The sequence below is a fragment of the Homo sapiens genome, chromosome 15, assembly GCF_000001405.40.
Source record: "Homo sapiens chromosome 15, GRCh38.p14 Primary Assembly".
Classification (NCBI taxonomy): domain Eukaryota; kingdom Metazoa; phylum Chordata; class Mammalia; order Primates; family Hominidae; genus Homo; species Homo sapiens.
In genome coordinates this window covers 74,553,564-74,572,952 of record NC_000015.10, presented here as the reverse complement: position 1 = coordinate 74,572,952, position 19,389 = coordinate 74,553,564, and the positions used below count along the sequence as shown (strand labels likewise).

At 42.6% G+C, this 19,389-nt stretch overlaps 1 protein-coding gene across 4 annotated transcripts in view; it reads right to left on the bottom strand.

Moving 5' to 3' along the window:
* Nucleotides 1-19,389, bottom strand: part of ARID3B (AT-rich interaction domain 3B) — a 56,912-nt gene that overhangs the window by 25,179 nt on the left and 12,344 nt on the right. For all 4 annotated transcript variants that reach the window (XR_007064418.1, XR_007064419.1, NM_001307939.2 and 1 more), the window contains one exon: nt 20-91. Coding sequence is in view for 2 of the 4 variants with exons in the window: in NM_001307939.2 (NP_001294868.1) it covers nt 20-91 (72 nt within the window). In the remaining 2 variants the exon portion in view is untranslated. The remainder of the gene's footprint in view (nt 1-19; nt 92-19,389) is intronic.

Below are 19,389 nucleotides of genomic sequence, written 5' to 3'. Positions count from 1 at the left end.
CAAAGGAAGTATTACAGACCTTGGCAAAATCTCGAGAGATCTCTCTTCCCCGGCCTCCATCTGCATCATCACTCCAGGCCAAACCACCATTCTAAAAGGGAACAAAACACAAAGTTGAGAGGGGCAAAGGAAGAGAAAGAGTTAGGACAGAGGGCAAGGCAATCATTTAGGGCAAAGATGAAGATGCTTAGCAATTGTGCTATCCTCACTCATACTATAAAAGACAACTCAGAAGACTAATTCTGCCACCCTTACAGGGACATCTTTTTTTTTTTTGGCTTTTGATTTGGTTCCAAAATAAAGAGGGAATCGGGTGGAAGAATCATCTCCATTTGTTGGAGAAGGGTAGGTGTCGTGGGTGTCATTTATACTTGATAATCCTGGAAGAGGAGGACACAAAGGCCCACGTTGCTTAGAAGGGGCTCATTCCCGGCTGATCGCCAGAAGCCATCACTCTGAGATGCACCACTTTCCTGCAGACTGGGAAGACACCTTGCCTGGTTTCCTATACAACACTGTAAGTGATAAGGGTCAAAGCGAGCAGGACATACATCCTGAAGTTGGTCTCTTAGTCAAGCCTCACCATTCAAAACCCTAAGCCGCATGGCAAGAACTCATGGTGATATGAGGGCCACCATGGCCTGAGATTGTTTCCAAGGTACAGACTCTGTGCCACTAGGGCGAGAGTTCATTTTTATTAGAGAAACAGTGAAAATCTAAGCCCAACTTAATTGATTGGGTTGAAGCAACACCATTCAACTAAATAGGAAGGGATGGCAAATATTCTTTAAACTTGCTTCCTATCTTTAATCAGTCCAGTAACTTTTTTTTTTTTCTTTTTCTGAGATGGAGTTTCGCTCTTGTTGCCCAAGCTGGAATGCAATGGCACGATCTCGGCTCACTGCAACCTCTGCCTCCCAGGTTCAAGTGATTCTCCTGCCTCAACCTCCTGAGTAGCTGGGATTACACGTGTGCGCAACCACGCCCGGCTAATTTTTGTTTGGTATTTTTAGTAGAGATGGGGTTTCACCATGCTGGCCAGGCTGGTCTCGAACTCCTGACCTCAGGTGATCCGCCCACCTTGGCCTCCCAAAGTGCTGGGATTACAGGCATGAGCCACTGCGCCCAGCCAAGTCCAGTAACTCTTATTCCTCCAATCAGTTATCTCTTCAGCAGGAAGCCTTCCCTTCAACCCTCTAAAAGCAATCTCTGTTCACTTCTAGCTTAGATTTTAACATATTACTTGGGAAGTATCTGTCATCCTCACCATATGGTAAGCTCCTTGAAAGGAAAGGTATCTTATTTATCTTTGTCATCAGGCACATAGCACATTGCCTGGCACACCAATTAAGCACCTCTTCAAAAAACATACACATACCTTACAGGGGGGTCAAAAAGTCTTTGTGCTAGTGAGGGTATGAACTCTCACAGTATAACTCTCTTGTTCACCCCGACCCACTGGTCAGTGGAGGTCCCAGTGGCCTGGACACACTGAACCTGTCATATTCATTTCTCCCACAGGACCACAGGTGCATGCGTACCATGCCACCCAGCTGGCTGGGGTGTGTATGTGGTGAGGAAAGGACATGTGGGGCTGGGGAGCAGTGGTTTCTTGGGAGAACATTCTTTGGACTACTCAGGAATCTTCTTCTAAAACCATGTCAACGAAATAAAAGCTTGGTTGAATTCCACTCTCTTCCACCTGCCCCTTTAATAAAGCTTGTCTGAAAGCAGAAGGCATTATGCAGTTATATTTTGGGGCCAACTTTGCTTCCCCTATTCACAGTGGGCTCTGAGATGAAGACCCACTTTCCGATAGCAGCAATCTGGCACACAGTGACATAAGTATAACTAAGAAGTGACACTCTGTCAGTTAAAATGAAACAGACTACATCAAATTGTTTCCCTGCTTATCTAGTAAAAGATGTGTGTATGGAAGTGCTTGGTAAATGCTATCTGACCATGCACTCATCATCTCTCAAGGCAGACATTGTTGGATCCCTTCCTACAGCACCTTCAGCACAGGGGAGCCAATAGCCAAGTGGGAGGAACATTGTTTAAAAAGAAAAAAAAGTTAAAGCTCATCCCACATTGTAATTACAGTCACCAGAAATCTGGTGTCATCTGGTGGCAACTAGCACAATGAATAATCAAGATGAATTATGCCTGTCAGGTCAGCAAAACCAGACAGAGTTACATTCCCCCTTTCAAAGGATGCAGTAGGTTGCCCTAATGCCCAGTGATTTTGTTTGAGCCAGTAATTCCTGCTGGAAAGTCAATTATCCCAGGAGCCCCTATCAGTTGAAAGACATTTAATGGGGGATCATTGCCGCTTCTGTTATGTCAGCTGTTTACTGCGGCAGCTCAATTCCCAATTCTCTGGCGAGAGCTCTGAAGCTGATCTCATTCACAGAAGGACTCTTTCTCTATCAGTCACCAAGAGAGATGAAAACACTTTTTTTTTTTTTTTTTTTTTTTTTTTTTTTTTTTGCTAATTATAGTAACTTCCAAGCACTCTGAATGCTCACTCAAAAACTATTTAACACTCAGTTGGGTGGAAAGGGTGGAATCCACAACCTAAAAAGTCAGACAGGGCTTTCCACAGAAGGACAGCAGTGTGAAAACAAGCACGCTAGTGTGACCACTATGTGACTATGTGTGAAAATAAACACCCAAGTGTGAGCGCTCGGCTCCACACATGGAGAATGCCTTGGCAGGATGGGGGCTGGGGCTGGTAGGGTCCTCTTGGCTTCTCCAGCTTTGTCCAACCTGCAAGAGAATCTGACAGTCAGATGGTGAGGCCTTGCACAGAGCCCACTAAGTGTGACCCACTTAGCTTAAAATGCCTCCAGCTTGGTGACCACAGAGGTCAGGAAGACTTGCCAGAGCAGGAAAGAAATGAGACACCGAACTCTTTGAGTAATCCCACTGTTGGACCCATTCCACAGATAGGAACTGTCAGTTACTCTATTTAAAGAAAATGTGGGGAAAATAGTTGCCCAGAGAGGAGGTATTTTCTTTCGTCCAGCTCCAAGGCAAGGATGGTCAATTCAGCTGGGGCTGATGTAAAAATGTCCAACGTGCATTCCATTCTTTGTCTTAAGGCAGTTAAACTTTGGTCCCACTTCACAGGATCTTCTGGCTGAGGTGAGAGTAATTCCTGAGCCCTGCCTGCCTTTCGCAGTCTAGCAGAGCCTCCTGCCTCTGCCCACCAGGCAGATTCAACACCTTTCTCCTCTGGGCTCTACCACCTGTGTTCAGTTACTCGTCTGGGTATCTCCAGCCCTGAGCACATAGAAAGCACTGACCAGCTGGGCATGGTGGCTCTTGCCTGTAATTCCAGCACTTTAAGACCAACCTGAGCAATATAGGAAGACTGTCTCTTTCTTGTAGGCTGGAGTGCAGTGGCATGATCTCAGGTCACTGCGACCTCTGCCTCTTAGGTTCAGGCGATTCTCCTGCGTCAGCCTCCTGAGTAGCTGGGACTACAGGTACATGCCAGTACGCCCGGCTAATTTTTGTATTTTTGGTAGAGATGGGGTTTTGCCATGTTGGCCAGGTTGGTCAGGGAGACTCCATCTCTACCAAAAATAATAATAATAATAATAATAATGAAGAGGGAGCACCGATATATCTGCTAAAAGACAGAGATGGGCTCCCCTGTGGGACCTCCAACCCCACAGCTCCTCCGTCTTCCCCTCCCCCTTTCATTGGGTGGGTTACAGGCTTAACCAGTTATTTTCTTGGTTCTTAACTCTGATCAACTGCTGTAAAACATGGCTCACTTATGCAATTCAAGTTTGTGTGCAGCAGGTTTCTTGGCCTATCAATAGAGTATGGGTGTGACTACTAGAAAATTATCAGCCCAGAAATAATTTTTTCTCGGATGCTGACTGTGGCTGACTGAGACTGTAATGGTGGAAGAAAGCAGGGAACAGCAGAGGCAGATGGAGGGTGGGGAAAACAAACCCAAAAAGAGACAGCTCAACATTTTAGGGATCAAAAGAGGTTGATGAGGAAAGCATTTCAGTTGAAGGGTTGCTGCATGCAAGTTTAACCTGCCCAGGGAACAGGCTTTGTTACACCATCAGCAGCAGGCAGCAGTATTATATAGCCCAGAAACGTGTGTGGGAAGTCAACAGTAGCCAGAGTGGCCACTTACTGCCATTTACAGCCTTCTCAGCCTCTCCTACTTGAGAACTGTCTTTTAACATCTTTGATCTCTCCAGGAGCTCACAGGAAACTGATAGTTTGCTCCCAAATACACACCCAAGACTAGCTTTGGCTACTATACCTACATTCAGCTAATTTTCCCCAGGAAAAGAAGGTTGGGGGAAAGAGAAAAGGTAGCAGGAAGCTAGTGTTTGTGTGCCTTCTGCATACTAAGGATTGTACCAGGAGCCTTACAAGCATTTTCTCACTTAATTCTATAATGTAGAAGTGGTTATTTTAGAAATGGGAAAACAATGGCTCAAAGAGCTCAAATAACCTGCTCAGGGTCTCAGAGCTTCTTAGTGACAGTGCCAGGATGTAAACCTAGGTCTGTCTGGCTCTCGCTGTTACACCATACTGACTTGTAGTTTGAAAGAATAACACGAAGTGTTCTGGATAAGGAGATCAGGAAGGGAGAAAAGAAGAAAAGGAAGTGAGAATAAAATCCTCTGTCCAGAGATGCCTGAAATGCCCATGTCATGGCACTGGGCAGCTCCTATCAATGGGAGACTCTTTTATCTTTGCTTTATCTCATGGCTTCACCTGGGCACTTTAGCCAAACGAAAAGCAGCCCTCACACAATGCTTGCCCAGGAGAGTTATCTGGCGGTACTGAAATAAGAATTGCTAACTTTTTACCCCTCCCTCCAAAATAGACCATTCCAGTAGAATGGGCCCATCTTCCCCCAGAAGACAGAGGATCAGGGGAGAGGAGAAAAAGAGAAGAGGGCTACACCTCTGAATGGACCAGAGGAAGATGGCAGCTTACACTGTGACATGCACACACAGGCCTTCAAAAATAATGAATCAAGGTCTGACCTGACTGCTACTCAAAATTAGAATAGTGCTTCTCCAGCATCTCAACCCTGGAACCCATTTCAACAGCACACAGGGGAAATAAACAGACTATCTTTGAAAATCTAAAGGTAGTGAGTGAAGAGAAACTAGGCTTTTTCCTCCTTTCTTCTAAAGCTCCAGAGGGCACAACTAGTGTGATAGGCAGAAGTTACCCTGAGGAAGATTTCAGGTCTACAGAAGGACTTTTTAAAACAAGTAGAACTGCCTGGTAATGGAGTGAGCTTCCCAGGAGGTGGGCAACTTCCTGTCTCTGGATGACTATCTGTATGGCATGTCATGGCGTGGAATCCAACATGAGACAGGGTGGATGAGATGGTCTCTAGGGGCCCTTTCTGTCCTGAGAAGCAAAGACCTGATGACAAGTTTATTCAACACAGATTTCCTGAGAACCTACCCCAGGTAGAGCATTGTGCAAGCTGCTGAGAATACCACTAAAAAAAAAAAAAATTGTTCCCACCACTGGGAGTCTTACCATGAAGTTGGAAAAACAAACTGAACACATATAGCATATAATAGCAAGACAACAAATAGGAAAACCCAAGGTACTCAGGAGGTAGAAGAAAAGGCTGGATGGCTTAGAGGTGGAGGTTAAGCTGGCCTTGAAGAATGGGTTGAAGGGAGATTTGCAGTCTAAATGAGCATGGAGTGGGGTATAAACAAGGCATGTTTTGACAGGGAGGATATAAGGACAGAAAGTCTGAATAGTTAAAGTTGAAAGGGGCTGTGAGATGCCTTGAATACCAGAAGGAAATTTAAACTCTGAACTGTGAACAGTGGGGAGGCAGTGGATGTTTTCTGGACAGGAAAGCACATGATTAAATCAATGTTTTAGACTGCTTTAGTGGCCCATTTTTGTTGAAAAAAAAAATAACAGAAACATACAAATGTACATAGACACCTAATCGGATTGGAACTGGGGGATTTTCACTTTTCCTTTTTTTTCCATTATATTCATTCATGTACAAACACTTGATCACCTAGAATTTACCAGTTATGGTAAAAGGTTCTGAAGGAAAAGGAACAAGACAGATGATCACCTCATGGAGCTTACTGTCTAATGGAGAGAGAGAGAGACAAACAATTACAAAATGCAATTATGCTCTTTTTTTATTTTAAAAATTATATTATTTTCTAGATTAATCTGAACCATTTGTCACGACTTATCATTTGCTTTCCACCCTACAATGAAGATTTGGAACCAGGCTGCACTGAAATCATAGAGAATTTCTCATAGAACGGACACCTTCACAAAATTTATTTAGTCTCTTTTTTTTTTTTTTTGAGACAGAGTCTCACTCTGTCACCCGGGCTGGAGTGCAGTGGTGTAATCTGGGCTCACTACAACCTCCGCCTCCCTGGTTTAAGTGATTCTGGTGCCTCAGCCTCCTGAGCAGCTGGGATTACAGGCACGCGCCACCATGCCCAGCTAATTTTTGTATTTTTTTTTAGTAGAGACGGGTTTTACCATGTTGGCCAGGCTGGTCTCAAACTCCTGACCTCAGGTGATCTGCCCGTCTCAGCCTCCCCAAGTGATGGGATTACAGGTGTGAGCCACTGCGCCTGGCCTATTTAGTCTTTCAATTACAAGTAAGAGAGTAGTATGATTTTTCATTTAATCAAAAATATTTTTAATGCCCCTCAGTAATGACTTGTAATGCTGACAGATTTTGTAAATGGTATTGAAAATCTGAGAGGGAAAGCCTGCACTGGGGGTAGGTGGCTGTGCAGTAGCCCAAGCTGAGAATGTGGGACTGGGGGAGACGGAGAGTAGCAGAATGAGGGAGAAATCAGTGCCATAAATGGAGAATCAACTGGATCTGGATTGAGGGGATGAAAGAGAAAGAGAAGGATTAATCTGAATTCTTATAGTGAGAAAGGTATGTTCTGATGCAAACAGAGGCTGGACAGGGGATCAAGCAGGAAGCCTTTAAGCACTAATGAAAACAGACCACTGCCTAGTGAGGTGGGGTGACAACACCAATCTCACAGCCCTGGAAGAAGCCAGGTTATGGCACCTGGCAGCAGGAGAAGCCAATGGCTTACTGCCAATCTTCCAATGAGAAGAAAGAGGTAGATTTAACAAAGGTCTCCTGATCCAAGAAGGCTACCTTGGGCCTTTTCTTTTTACTGGGATTAAAAAAAAAAAAAACAAAAAAAACAACGAGACCATGCTTCTAAGATCTTAGGAGCCAGCTCTGCATTCCTTAGAGCTGCACTTCCCCAGAGACAGAAGCGCCTGACTTTAAAAGCAATTAAGTATCTAGGCTATTTTAGGATTACTCCTTGACCACCTGGAATATCTTATTAAAGCACAGCTCAGATGTCCAAAGCAATTTTAGTTCCCATACCTCATTCCTCCCCAAGGCAAGGGTTAACCCTTCCTTGGGGTTTAAAGCCCAGGGGCTGAGCTAACAAGTCTTCACTTGGGTTCCTGATATTTTGGAACCTCTCAGAAACTGCCCTGTCCTTAAATTGCCATTGTGCATACTGACAACTTTTATAGAGATTCTTGAGAGTTCTCTGAAGACACAGAACAGGGTGCGGTGGCTCACACCTGTAATCCCAGCACTTTAGGAGGCTGAGGTGGAAGGACTGCTTAAGCCCGGGAGTTTGAGACCAGCCTAGGAAACATATGGAGACTCCATCTCTACAAAATTAAAAAAATAAAAAAATTAGCTGGGCATGGTGGCACATGCCTATAGTCCCAGCTACTTGGGAGGATGAGGTGGGAGGAGCGCTTGAGCCTGGGAGGCTGAGGTTGCAGTGAGATACAATTGTACCACTACACTCCAGCCTGGGTAACAGGGCAAGACCCTATTTCAAAAAAATAAAAAATAATAATTAATTTAAAAAAAAAAGACACAGAACAGTAATGTGTCTATTCTCTATAAATCAAATAGATTATGAATCCCAAGGTCAAGGATTTAAGCAAACTCCTAGGACCTGAACCTCAAAGTAATCATTAGAAAATCACTAGACTTCAGGCCAGACATGGTGGCTCATGACTGTAATCTCAGCACTTTGGGAGGCTGAGGCAGGTGGATCACTTGAGCCCAGGAGTTTGAGACCAGCCTGGCAACATGGTGAAACCCCATCTCTACCAAAAAATTAAAAAATTAGCTGGGTGTGGTGGCATGTGCCTGTAGTCCAAGCTACTTGGGAGGCTGAGATAGGAGGATTGCTTGAGCCTGAAAGATGGAGGCTGCAATGAGTCATGATTGAACCACTGCACTCCAGCCCAGGTGACAGAGTGATACCCTGTCTCAAAAAGAAAAAGAAAAAGAAAATCGTTAGACTTCAAAGGGGCTGATCCCAAGCTCATGGATGGCAACTAACTGCTCCAAAATACAAAATGTAACTAAAGCATTTGGGCTGACTGTGGCTGTTGTTGTTTTTAATAAGCAACAAATAAACTATCTTATCATTGGCCAGATCCATGGCTCTGCAGGCATTACGTATACCACATTTGTGACTACTCTACTGCTGGCCTGATTAATGATGTAATGTTAAAAATCCAATTCTCAGATCTTGGTATGAAGAAAAGAAAAAATGCTCTTTGCCCTCATACCAGTTTTAACTGATTTCAGGAGGTAATGAGACATGCACAAGGCATAATGGGCAGGATTACAGGAGAATCCTAAGAGGGGAGGGGAGCCCCAGGAAGTAAAACAGATACTGTTATAAGCAACACTGTTGGACTACAAAACCCTCTTGATAAGATCAGGATTAGTGCTCTTAACTAAATCGCTCAGGCCTTGGAAACACTAGAGTTATAATTATCAGATGCACACCTTCCGCTGTCAGGTAACTTTAGCAGGAACCAGAAAGAGCCTTCCCACCTCTTGCTAGCAGCGGAGATCAATTCAAACTCAGTGGCTTGGAAAAGAGCTAAAGGACACTTCTCTGATTAAGCTGTAGAAAGCGGGCAGAGCAGGGGAGGAAGAGAGGGCAGCGGTCCCACCTTTCCACTAAGCACAGAATCACTCCATGCAATGATCAAGAAGACTTCCCAGAAATAGATGTTCCTACCAAAGGTGGCAGAAAAACTAAAATACATTGTTGGTGATGAGGACACCCTGATACCAAGGCATGAACTGGCCCAGCCAAGTCCAAGTCCGAGAGCCACAGAGGTAAGTAAGTCCTAGCTCCTTTTCTCTGCAGAATCTGACTTGGCAGCACTACGGCTTACTCCAACCCTTGAGCTACCACCTGAACTTCCACAATGGTTGCTGACATCCATCCACACCACAGAGGCTCCACACAGAGTTGCACAAAGTCAGAGTTGGAGAGCCCAGCACAAGAACACTTCAATGGACCCGCTGGTGACAGAAAGGAAACAGACCTAAGAGGTTGGAAACTTGCCCAAAAGTTTCATAAAACTTTTTTTTCCCCCCAAACAACACATTTTAAATGTATAGGAAGAACAACATTTTTAAAAATTACTATCATAAGTTACTTTACAAAGTTAAAAAATCCCTCCTTTATTTTCAAATTTGGGATTCCACAAGTTTGGGTGTCCTCAGGCAGAACACAGTCACAGTTTGTGTTTAAAAGTCAGCTGCATTCACAGATTTCTCAGAGCTTCTCCTAAGGCTTCCTCCAGGTCCACACCCCCATCCTGGGGTGCTACTATGATATACACATTCCTTCTCTGATGACAACTGTCCCTATGCCACCGGCCACCTCTACCAGGCTGAGGCTCTCTCACATGGGGATAGTGATTGACTCCTCTGTGAGGCTGGTGCATCAAGCACAGGGCCTGACAGGTGGTCGAGGCTCAAATGAATGTTGATACCTGAAGAACAAGCCAACGGGAATAAACTTAGGAGACTCAGCACAAGCTAAGTGAATAATCTGGGGGGAAAATCAGAACACACTTAAAAGAAGGTGGGCTGCTAGTTCTAAACGACAACTCTAGAAAAGGGGTCTAGAAGGCAATATAAGTCATTTCCTAAAGATAGCAGGTAAATTTTAAGGCCCAAGAGCTAAACATAAGAATTTGTATTTTTAAAAAAGGGGCCCATGATTCATATGTAAAATTAGCAAAGCTTCAAAAAATAATTTTCAGTGACAACAAGGGTTGGTACAATGGGATCTCCCATATTCCCATACTGGAAATATAAAATAGTATGACTTTCTGGAAAGTCACTTGCCTTAAAATGCCTATCACAATAAAAACAGCAGCAGCAACAACTAATAATTGAGTACACGTGCTCTTCAACTTATGATGGGGACCAGGTGAGGTGGCTCGTGCCTGTAATCCCAGCACTTTGGGAGGCTGTGGTGAGAGGATTGGTTGAGACTGGGAGTTCCAGGCTGCAGTGAGCAGCAATCACACCACTGCATTCCCCCCGGGAGACAGTGAGACCCTGTCTCAGAAAACAGAAAAATACTTATGATGGCGTTAACAACCCAATATACTCACCAGAAGTTGAAAATATTGGACTGGGCATGGTGGCTCATGCCTGTAATCCCAGCAGTTTGGGAGGCCGAGGTGGGCGGATCACCTGAGGACAGGAGTTCGAGACTAGCCTGGCCAACATGGTGAAACCCAGTCTCTACTAAAAATACAAAATTAGCTGGGTGTGGTGGTGGATGCCTGTAATCCCAGCTACTCGGGAGGTGGAGGCAGGAGAATTGCTTGAACCTGGGAGGTGGAGGTTGCAGTGAGCCAAGATCGTGCTATTGCACTCCAGCCTGGGCGACAGGGCAAGACTTCAACTCACAAAAAAAAGAAAAGAAAAGAAAAGAAAAGAAAATACCGTTGTCGGAAATGCATTTAATACACCTAGCCTACTAAACATCATAGCTTAACCTAGCCTGCTTTTTTTTTTTTTTTTTTTAAGACAGAGTCTTGCTCTGTCGCCAGGGCTGGAGTGCAACCTAGCCTACCTTAAACGTGCTCAGAACACATATATTAGCCTACAATTAGGCAAAATCATTTAATACAAAGCCTATTTTATAATAACATGTTGAGTATCTTGTAATTTACTGAATACTACAATGGAAGAGGATAAACAGAATAGTTGTATGGGTACTTGAAGTAGTTTCTACTGAGTGTGCATGGCTTTTGTACCACCATAAGGTTGAAAAATAGTTGAGTTGAACCATCTTAAGTCAGGGACTATCTGTGCTAACTACCTGCCAGGCACTATTCCAGCATTTTATATGTATTGACATTTAATCCTCAGCACAGTGCTCTGAAGTGGGTACTATTATTATCCCTACTCTTCAGATGAGAAAACCAAAGCAAAAGGAAGTCCAGTGACTTGGTTACAAAGTGACCAAATGGTGGAGTTGGGAATCAATTGCAGGCAGGGCAGCTTTAAGTCCCTGCTTATAACTGCCTCACTTTCTTAGTCTCCTCCTGATCTTGTAATTCTGGTCTATGACTCTATCCTAAGGAAATAACTAGAAATACAGTATAATTTTATTTATAAGAGTAAAAAATTTAAAGCAGTCTAAATGTCTGACATTAAGGGAATGGGCAACACATGAAGGTGCTATCCATGTGATAAAACATTATGCAGCCATCAAAAATAGCAATACTCTTTAAACACACTTGATTCCTATTCATTCTATTCATCCTTCTCATTCATTCTAGATGTAGTAAAGAGCTACGATTAAAAACACAACCATAAAGTATTAAGAATAGAGAATATTTTTTGTAATCTTAGGGAAAGGCCTTCTCAAGTATGACAGAAACCATAAAGAGAAAAATCAATAAATTTAGCTATATCAAAATTTTAAACCCCTACTTGATTAAAGAACCACACATCAAGTTGAAAGACAAACTACGGGCTGGGCACGGTGGGTCACACCTATAATCCCAGCACTTTGGGAGGCTGAAGCACAAGGATTGCTTGAGCCCAGGAGTTTCATAAACATATGAAAAGACAGCAAAAATAAAAGGACTGATAATAACCAATGTTGACAAGGGTTTGGGAAAATATATCACCGGTAGCAAAGCGGAGTAATATCTTTGAGGGTAATTAACAGTATATATTGAAAAGCTAACATATACATAGACACCTAATCAACATCTATAATAATCTATCCCACCACAGAAATACATATACCAGGGCATAGGGTTACACATACTACACACACATACACAAGTACATTCACACTCACATGTTCTGTGACTGCACACTTCAGTCAGTAAATACACAGAAACAGTCCTAGAAGCTGATTCACTCCTACTTGTGAGGTGTAAGGACACAGGACAGGCAACAGGACACCATGGTATTTTTTTAACTACGAATTTTTACTCTGTATTTTTCCATATTGTTTTAATTTTCATGAGCACCTATTCATACCGCTTATGTGATTTTAAATAAATAATTATAAAAACACGAAAAATAGATCTTCATGAACACTCATGGAGGACTGCCAGAGCAGAGTACAAAAGCAAGTGGTAGAACAATATGTAGAACAGACAAAATATATTTGTGAAAAGAAAAAGCTCCAAGAAGGTGTAGACCAAACTGTTAACAATTACACCTGAAGAGTCAGACTTTTATTTCATACATTTCCAAATTTCTAAAATTATTTGAGTTATTATTACTTCTGTAATATACTTTGAAAACTAAAATATTTTAAAGTAATACTTTAAATTGCTCAAGGCCTGTTAGGTGATAAAAGTTAAGCACAAAATTGTATATAAATTTTTTTTTTTTTTGAGACAGTCTTGCTCTGTTGCCCAGGCTGGAGTGCAGTGGTGCAATCGTGGCTCACTGCAATCTCCATCTCCCAGATTCAAGTGATTCTTCTGCCTCAGCTTCCTGAGTAGCTGGGATTACAGGTGTGTGCCACCACTCCGGCTAATTTTTGTGTGTGTGGTTTTTTTTTTAGTAGAGACAGGGTTTCGCCATGTTGCCTAGGCTGGTCTCAAACTCCTGGGCTCAAGCGATCCACCTGCCTTGGCCTTCCAAAGTACTGGAGTTACAGGTGTGAGCCACGGCACCCAGCCTGTATATAAAATTTAAAACTGTATCTATAGTAGGCATTTTTCTTCAAAACGCAAGTACAACAAATGTTTATAGTTATATTAAATCTAAGTTATGTGGCTGTAGTGATTGTATTTTCTTCTTTACAAATTTTTACATTTTCCATGTTTTCTAAAATGAGCCTGCATTACCTTGACAATCAGAAAAAATAAGTAAAAGTCATTTGCAGAGTAATAAAACCACTAAGGAAAGATTATTTTTCTCCTGTTCTATCTGGAAGGGAGCAAGAGGGAATATGGAGCTAGAAGTCAGACCACCTGGGTTCACTAGCCAGCTTCCCAACTGTGAGACCACAAGCTTCCCACTTGACCTTTTCCCTCATCTGTAAATAAAACAAACACATAAAGGGGATAATATTAGGACCTGCCTCACACAATGAAATGAAATAAGGTACTTGGCACATAAGAGGTCAAAAAGTCTTAGTTATTAAAAAACAAAAACAAGAAAACAAGCAAACAAAACTGTGAGTGAGGATAGTCTGATGTGAAGGAACTCCACCATCTCCCTCGCTTCTTCCCCAAAGAAAACCTCACATAGAAAAGCTGGATAACATTTAACACTCTACCCGTTGCATACATAGCTGAGCTTGAAACCCAGAAAGAAAGCAGAGTCCACAGCAGCAGAAACAAAATGGTAGCAATCAGTGAGCAAGTGGCAAAGCTGAAGGGCTCAAGGGAGAACATGACCCGAATAGGGTTCTTAAGAGCCGAGTGCTGAACTGAGAGCTGGAGACTGAATCAACCCCAAGAGAAGGGAGTCCAGGCTGTAGGCCCCTGCATGCCAGGAACCAGAACAGAAACAACTGCATAAAGCCAGAGGCCATGAGAGACTACATGGCCCGCCATAAACTGGGCCTAAAAACACTGCCCACCAGCCCGGCGAAGCTGCAAGGAACCGTGCCATCTGGCAGGGGACTCATATTGAGGGGCTCTCACTAGGCACAGATGTAGGCTTCAAATTCACACTACCCAAACCAATGCAACGAGCTAAACTTGTGCAGCCCCAGCAGAGGGAAAAACAAAACTCCCCTTAGGAATGCTTCCACCATCCAAGGCACATGGGATTCCTACAGAAACAAATCCCCACTCAAAATGAATTTACACTGGAAAAAAAACAAAAACAAACCAAGAGGAAATAAACCATCTTAAGGGACAGTAACATGACACAGGAAGAACTTGCACCCCAAGAATTAGAGATAATAATAGACTCTAAAAGCATCTTTAAAATAAGCATGTTTAAAAAGAATGGCAGACTGTTGATACTTGTTGAAAGCTGATTAAAGAACACAGATGGTTCATTACTATTCTTTTTTTTTTGTATGTATGAAATTTCCATAAATGAGTTTTAGCAATTCCAATATAAAGTTTTAAAAAGTCAAAGATGTTCAAAGAGCTGAAGGAATAGAAACCATAAAGTAAAAACAGGCAGATTTTTAAATGCCAAAAAATTTATAAACAAACACAATAATTACGACAAACCATTTTTTAAAGAGCCATAAAGTAGAACAGATAGAGCTGAAGACAGAATTAGAAATTAGAAAATTAAATGTGAAAATAATCCAGAATGCAGGAGAATGATATAAATACATAAGATTTTAAAAGAAAAGACGCACAGGAGACTGAATGAGGAGGTTCAAATACTTCTATTAGAATACTGGTTAAGAAAAAATAGTACCCAAAAAAAAAAAAAAAAAAAAGACACAAACCAGATTGAAGGAGCAGACAGAGACCCAAGTGGAATAAAAGTAAGTTGAAAGGCCGGGCGCGTGGCTCACGCCTGTAATCCCAGCACTTTGGGAGGCCGAGGTGGGCGGATCATGAGGTCAGGAGATCGAGACCATCCAGGCTAACACAGTGAAACCCTGTCTCTACTAAAAATACAAAAAATTAGCTAGGCGTGGTGGCGGGCGCCTGTAGTCCCAGCTACTCAGGAAGCTGAGGCGGGAGAATGGCATGAACCCTGAAGGCAGTGCTTGCAGTGAGCTGAGATCATGCCACTGCACTCCAGCCTGGGCGACAGAGTGAGACTCCGTCTCAAAAAAAAAAAAAAAAAAAAAAGTAAGTCGAAACCTAGAATACTGTAATTAAAGTGCAGAATAGCAGAGTCAAAAAGAAAAAATCTTAAAAGCTACAAGAGAGAAAAAGATCCTCCCTACTCCCTTGGACACAACCATATTGAAATTAGGCCAATAATAACCTTGCAATGGCCTCTAAGTATTCAAGCGAAAGGAAGAGTTGTATGTCTCTCACTTTAAATAAAAAGCTAGAAAAAGATTAACAGACTGACACTAGATTTCTCAACAGCAAAAACAGTTGTTAGGAAACAATGAAATCTTATCATTAAGGGTGAAGAAAAAAATAATGGTCAATGTAGAATCTAAAGCTATGAACAACTGTACAAAAGTGAGGGCAAAATAAAAAGATTTTTTGAAAGTTTCAAACATACCACAATTTTTTTTTTTTGAGACAGGGTCTCACTCTCATCCAGGCTGGAGTGCATGGCACCATCATAGCTCACTGCAGCCTCCATCTCTTGGGCTCAAGAGATCCTCCCACCTCAGCCTCCCAAGTAGCTGGGACTACAGGCAGGTACCAACCTATCTGGCTAATTTTTTTTTTTTTCGGTAGAGACAGGGTTTCATCATGTTGCTCAGGCTGGTCTTGATCTCCTGGGCTCAAGCAATCCGCCTGCGTTGGCCTCCGAAAGTGCTGGAATTATAGGTATGAGCCATCATGCCTGGCCAAGACTTTTATTACATATAAGTCTCTGCTAAAAAAAGTTAGTAAATAAAGAAAAAGGAGGCTGTGCATGCTGGCTCACGTCTGTAATCCTAGCACTTTGGGAGGCCGAAGCGGGTGGATCACGAGGTCAGGAGTTCGAGACCAGCCTGGCCAATATGGTGAAACCCTGTCTCTACTAAAAAAATACAAAAATTAGCTGGGCATGGTGGCACACGCCTGTAGTCCCAGCTACTCAGGAGGCTGAGGCAGAAGAATCGCTTGAACCTGGCAGGCAGAGGTTGCAGTGAGCCGAGATTGCACCTCTGCACTCCAGCCTGGGCAACAGAGTGAGACTCCGTCTCAAAAAAAAAAAAAAAACAAAAAACAAAAAAAAGAAAAAAGGAAAAGGAAAGTGAGCCCAGAGGGAATGAGTAGGATCAAGTAATGGTGAGAAAAGAAATGGATAAACTTCGTAAGTCTAAATAAATAATAACTGTGAGGGGAAAAAAACTAATTTGGGGACGGGTTAAAACAAATTAGAACTAAAATACTGGCCACTATAAACTGGTAAATAGGATTGGAGAGGTAGATGTTAAAACTAGAATTTCTAAGGTACCAATGTTTGAAAGCACAGCACACCTAATTTCTAACAGCACGTGCTCACTTTGTGTCTCTGTCACATACTGGTAATTCTCGTAGTATTTCACACTTAAAAAAATTATTACATCTGTTATGGTGATCTGTGATCAGTCATCTTTGATGTTACCATTGTAATTGCTTTGGAGAGCCTAGAATCACACCCATATAAGATATCAAACTTCACTGATAAATGTTGTATGTATTCTGACTGCTCCACCAACCACCCTAGCTGTTCCTCCATCTTTCTCCCTCTTCTTGGGCCTCCCTACTCTCTTGGACACAACCATACTGAAATTAGGCCAATTAGTAACCTTGCAATGACCTCTAAGTATTCAAATGAAAGGAAGAGTTGTATGTCTCTCACTTTAAATCAAAAGCTAGAAATTATTAAGCTTAGTGAGGAAGGCATGTTGAAAGCCCAGATAGCCGGGCTCGGTGGCTCAAGCCTGTAATCCCAGCACCTTCGGAGGCTGAGGCGGGCGGATCACAAGGTCAGGAGATCGAGACCATCCCGGCTAACACGGTGAAACCCCGTCTCTACTAAAAATACCAAAAAATTAGCCGGGCATGCTGGTGGGCGCCTGTAGTCTCAGCTACTCGGGAGGCTGAGGCAGGAGAATGGCATGAACCTGGGAGGCGGAGCTTGCAGTGAGCGGAGATTGTGCCACTGCACTCCAGCCTGGGCAACAAGGTGAGATTCCGTCTCAAAAAAAAAAAAAAAAAAAAAAAGAAATACAGCTCGTAAGGCTACAGCTGCCATAGACAGGGATTCCTCTTATGGATCCGGGCAAAGCAAATTGGAAACCTTCTGGAAAGGATTCACTGTTCTAGGTGTCATCAAGAATATTTCATGATTCATGGGAGGAGGTCAAAATAGCAACTGGGGCCAGGCATGGTGGCTCATGCCTGTAATCCCAGCACTTTGGGAAGCTGAGGCAGGAGGATTGCTTGAACCAGGAGTTTTGAGACCAGCTTAGGCAACACAGTGAGACCCTGTTTCTACAAAAGATTTTTAAAAATTAGTTGGGCATGGTGACACATGCCCGTGGCCCCAGCTACTCAAAAGGCTGAGGTGGGAGAATCACATGAGCCCAACAGGTCGAGGCTGCAGTGAGCTGTGATTGCGTCACTGCACTCCACCCTGGGTGAAAGAGTGAGACCCTGCTTCAAAAAAGAAAAAAAAAAGAGTCAATCGTAGCAAACTTCACTGTTGTCTTATTCTATGAAATTGCCACAGCCACTCCAAGCTTCAGTACCCAGCACCTAGATCAGTCAGAAGCCATCAACATCAAGGCAGGACCTTCTATCAACAAAAAGATTACAACTCGCTGAAGGCTCAGATACTTGTTATTGTTTTTCTTGTAATAAAGTATTACTTTAATTTTAATTGACAAATAATAATTATATATATTAATGAGGTACACAGAGTTGTTTTCATACATATTATGTATAGTGATCAGATCAGGGTAATTAGCATCTCCATCACCACAAACATCTACCATTTCTTTGTGCTGGGAACATTCAAGAGCAATAAAACATTTTAGTTAAGGTATGTACATTGTTGTTTTTTTTTAGGTATAATGAAAGCTACTGTATACTTAATAGACCAGAGAATAAACATAATTTTTATACAGGAAACAAAAAATGTATGACTTATTTTATTGCAATATTGCTTTATTGTGGTGGTCTGGAACTGAACCTGCAATATCTCTGAGATATGCCTTTAGTGTAAAAAGAATATAAATTACAATCTAAAAGTAACCAATAGAAGAATAAAAACAGAAAAGTATAATTTCTAGACCAGCAAAGGACATAAAGGCTAAATAAATAAAACTCGATCAAATCAATACAAGACAGAAAAAGAGAAAACAAGAAAAGTATAGTTAAATTGAAAATCCAAAATAAGAGGGCATGACCAGGCACTGTGGCTCACACTTGTAATCCTAGCACTTTGGGAGGCTGAGGCGGGTAGATCACTTGAAGTCAGGAGTTCAAGACCAGCCTTGCCAACATGGTGAAATCCTGTCTCTACTAAAAATACAAAAATTAGCCGAGTGTGGTAGCGCATGCTTGTAATCCCAGGTACTTGGGAGGCTGAGGCGGGAGGGCTGCTTGAGCCCGGGAGGCAGAGGTTACAGTGAGCAGAAATCATGCCACTGCACTCCAGCCTGGGTGACAGAGAGAGGCTCCATCTCAAAAACAAACAGGGCTGGGCATGGTGGCTCATGCCTGTAATCTCAGCACTTTGGGAGGCCGAGTTGGGTGGATCACCTGAGGTCAGGAGATCGAGACCAGCCTGACCAACATGGAGAAACCCCGTTCTCTACTAAAAATACAAAAAATTAGCCAGGCGTTGTGGCAGGCGCCTGTAGTCCCAGCTACTTGGGAGGCTGAGGCAGGAGAATGGCATGAACCCAGGAGGCGGAGCTCGTAATGAGCCAAGATCGTGCCACTGCACTCTAGCCTGAGCGACAGAGCGAGACTCTGTCTCAAAAAAAATAAACAACAACAAAAAAAATACAAAATTAGCTGGGTGTGGCGGTGCATGCCTGTAATCCCAGCTACTCAGGAGGCTGAGGCAGGAGAATCTCTTGAACCCGGGAGGCGGAGGTTGCAGTGCGCCGAGATTGTGCCATTGCACTCCAGCCTGGGCAACAAGAGCGAAACTCTGTCTCAAAAAATAATAAATAAATAAATAAATAAATAAATAAAAATTAAAAAACAAAACAAAAAAAAGAGGGCAGAAATAGATCCAAATGTATCACTAATCCTTATAATGAAATGGATTAACATACATTCTCTCCAAGCACACATGGAACATTTATAGAAACTAATCACACATAAGGCCAACATAAAGAATATCTTAAATTTCAGAGAATTGATACCATGCTCGTTTCCCAACTACAATGTAATCAAGCTATAAAATAATACTGGAAAAGAGATAAAACCCAC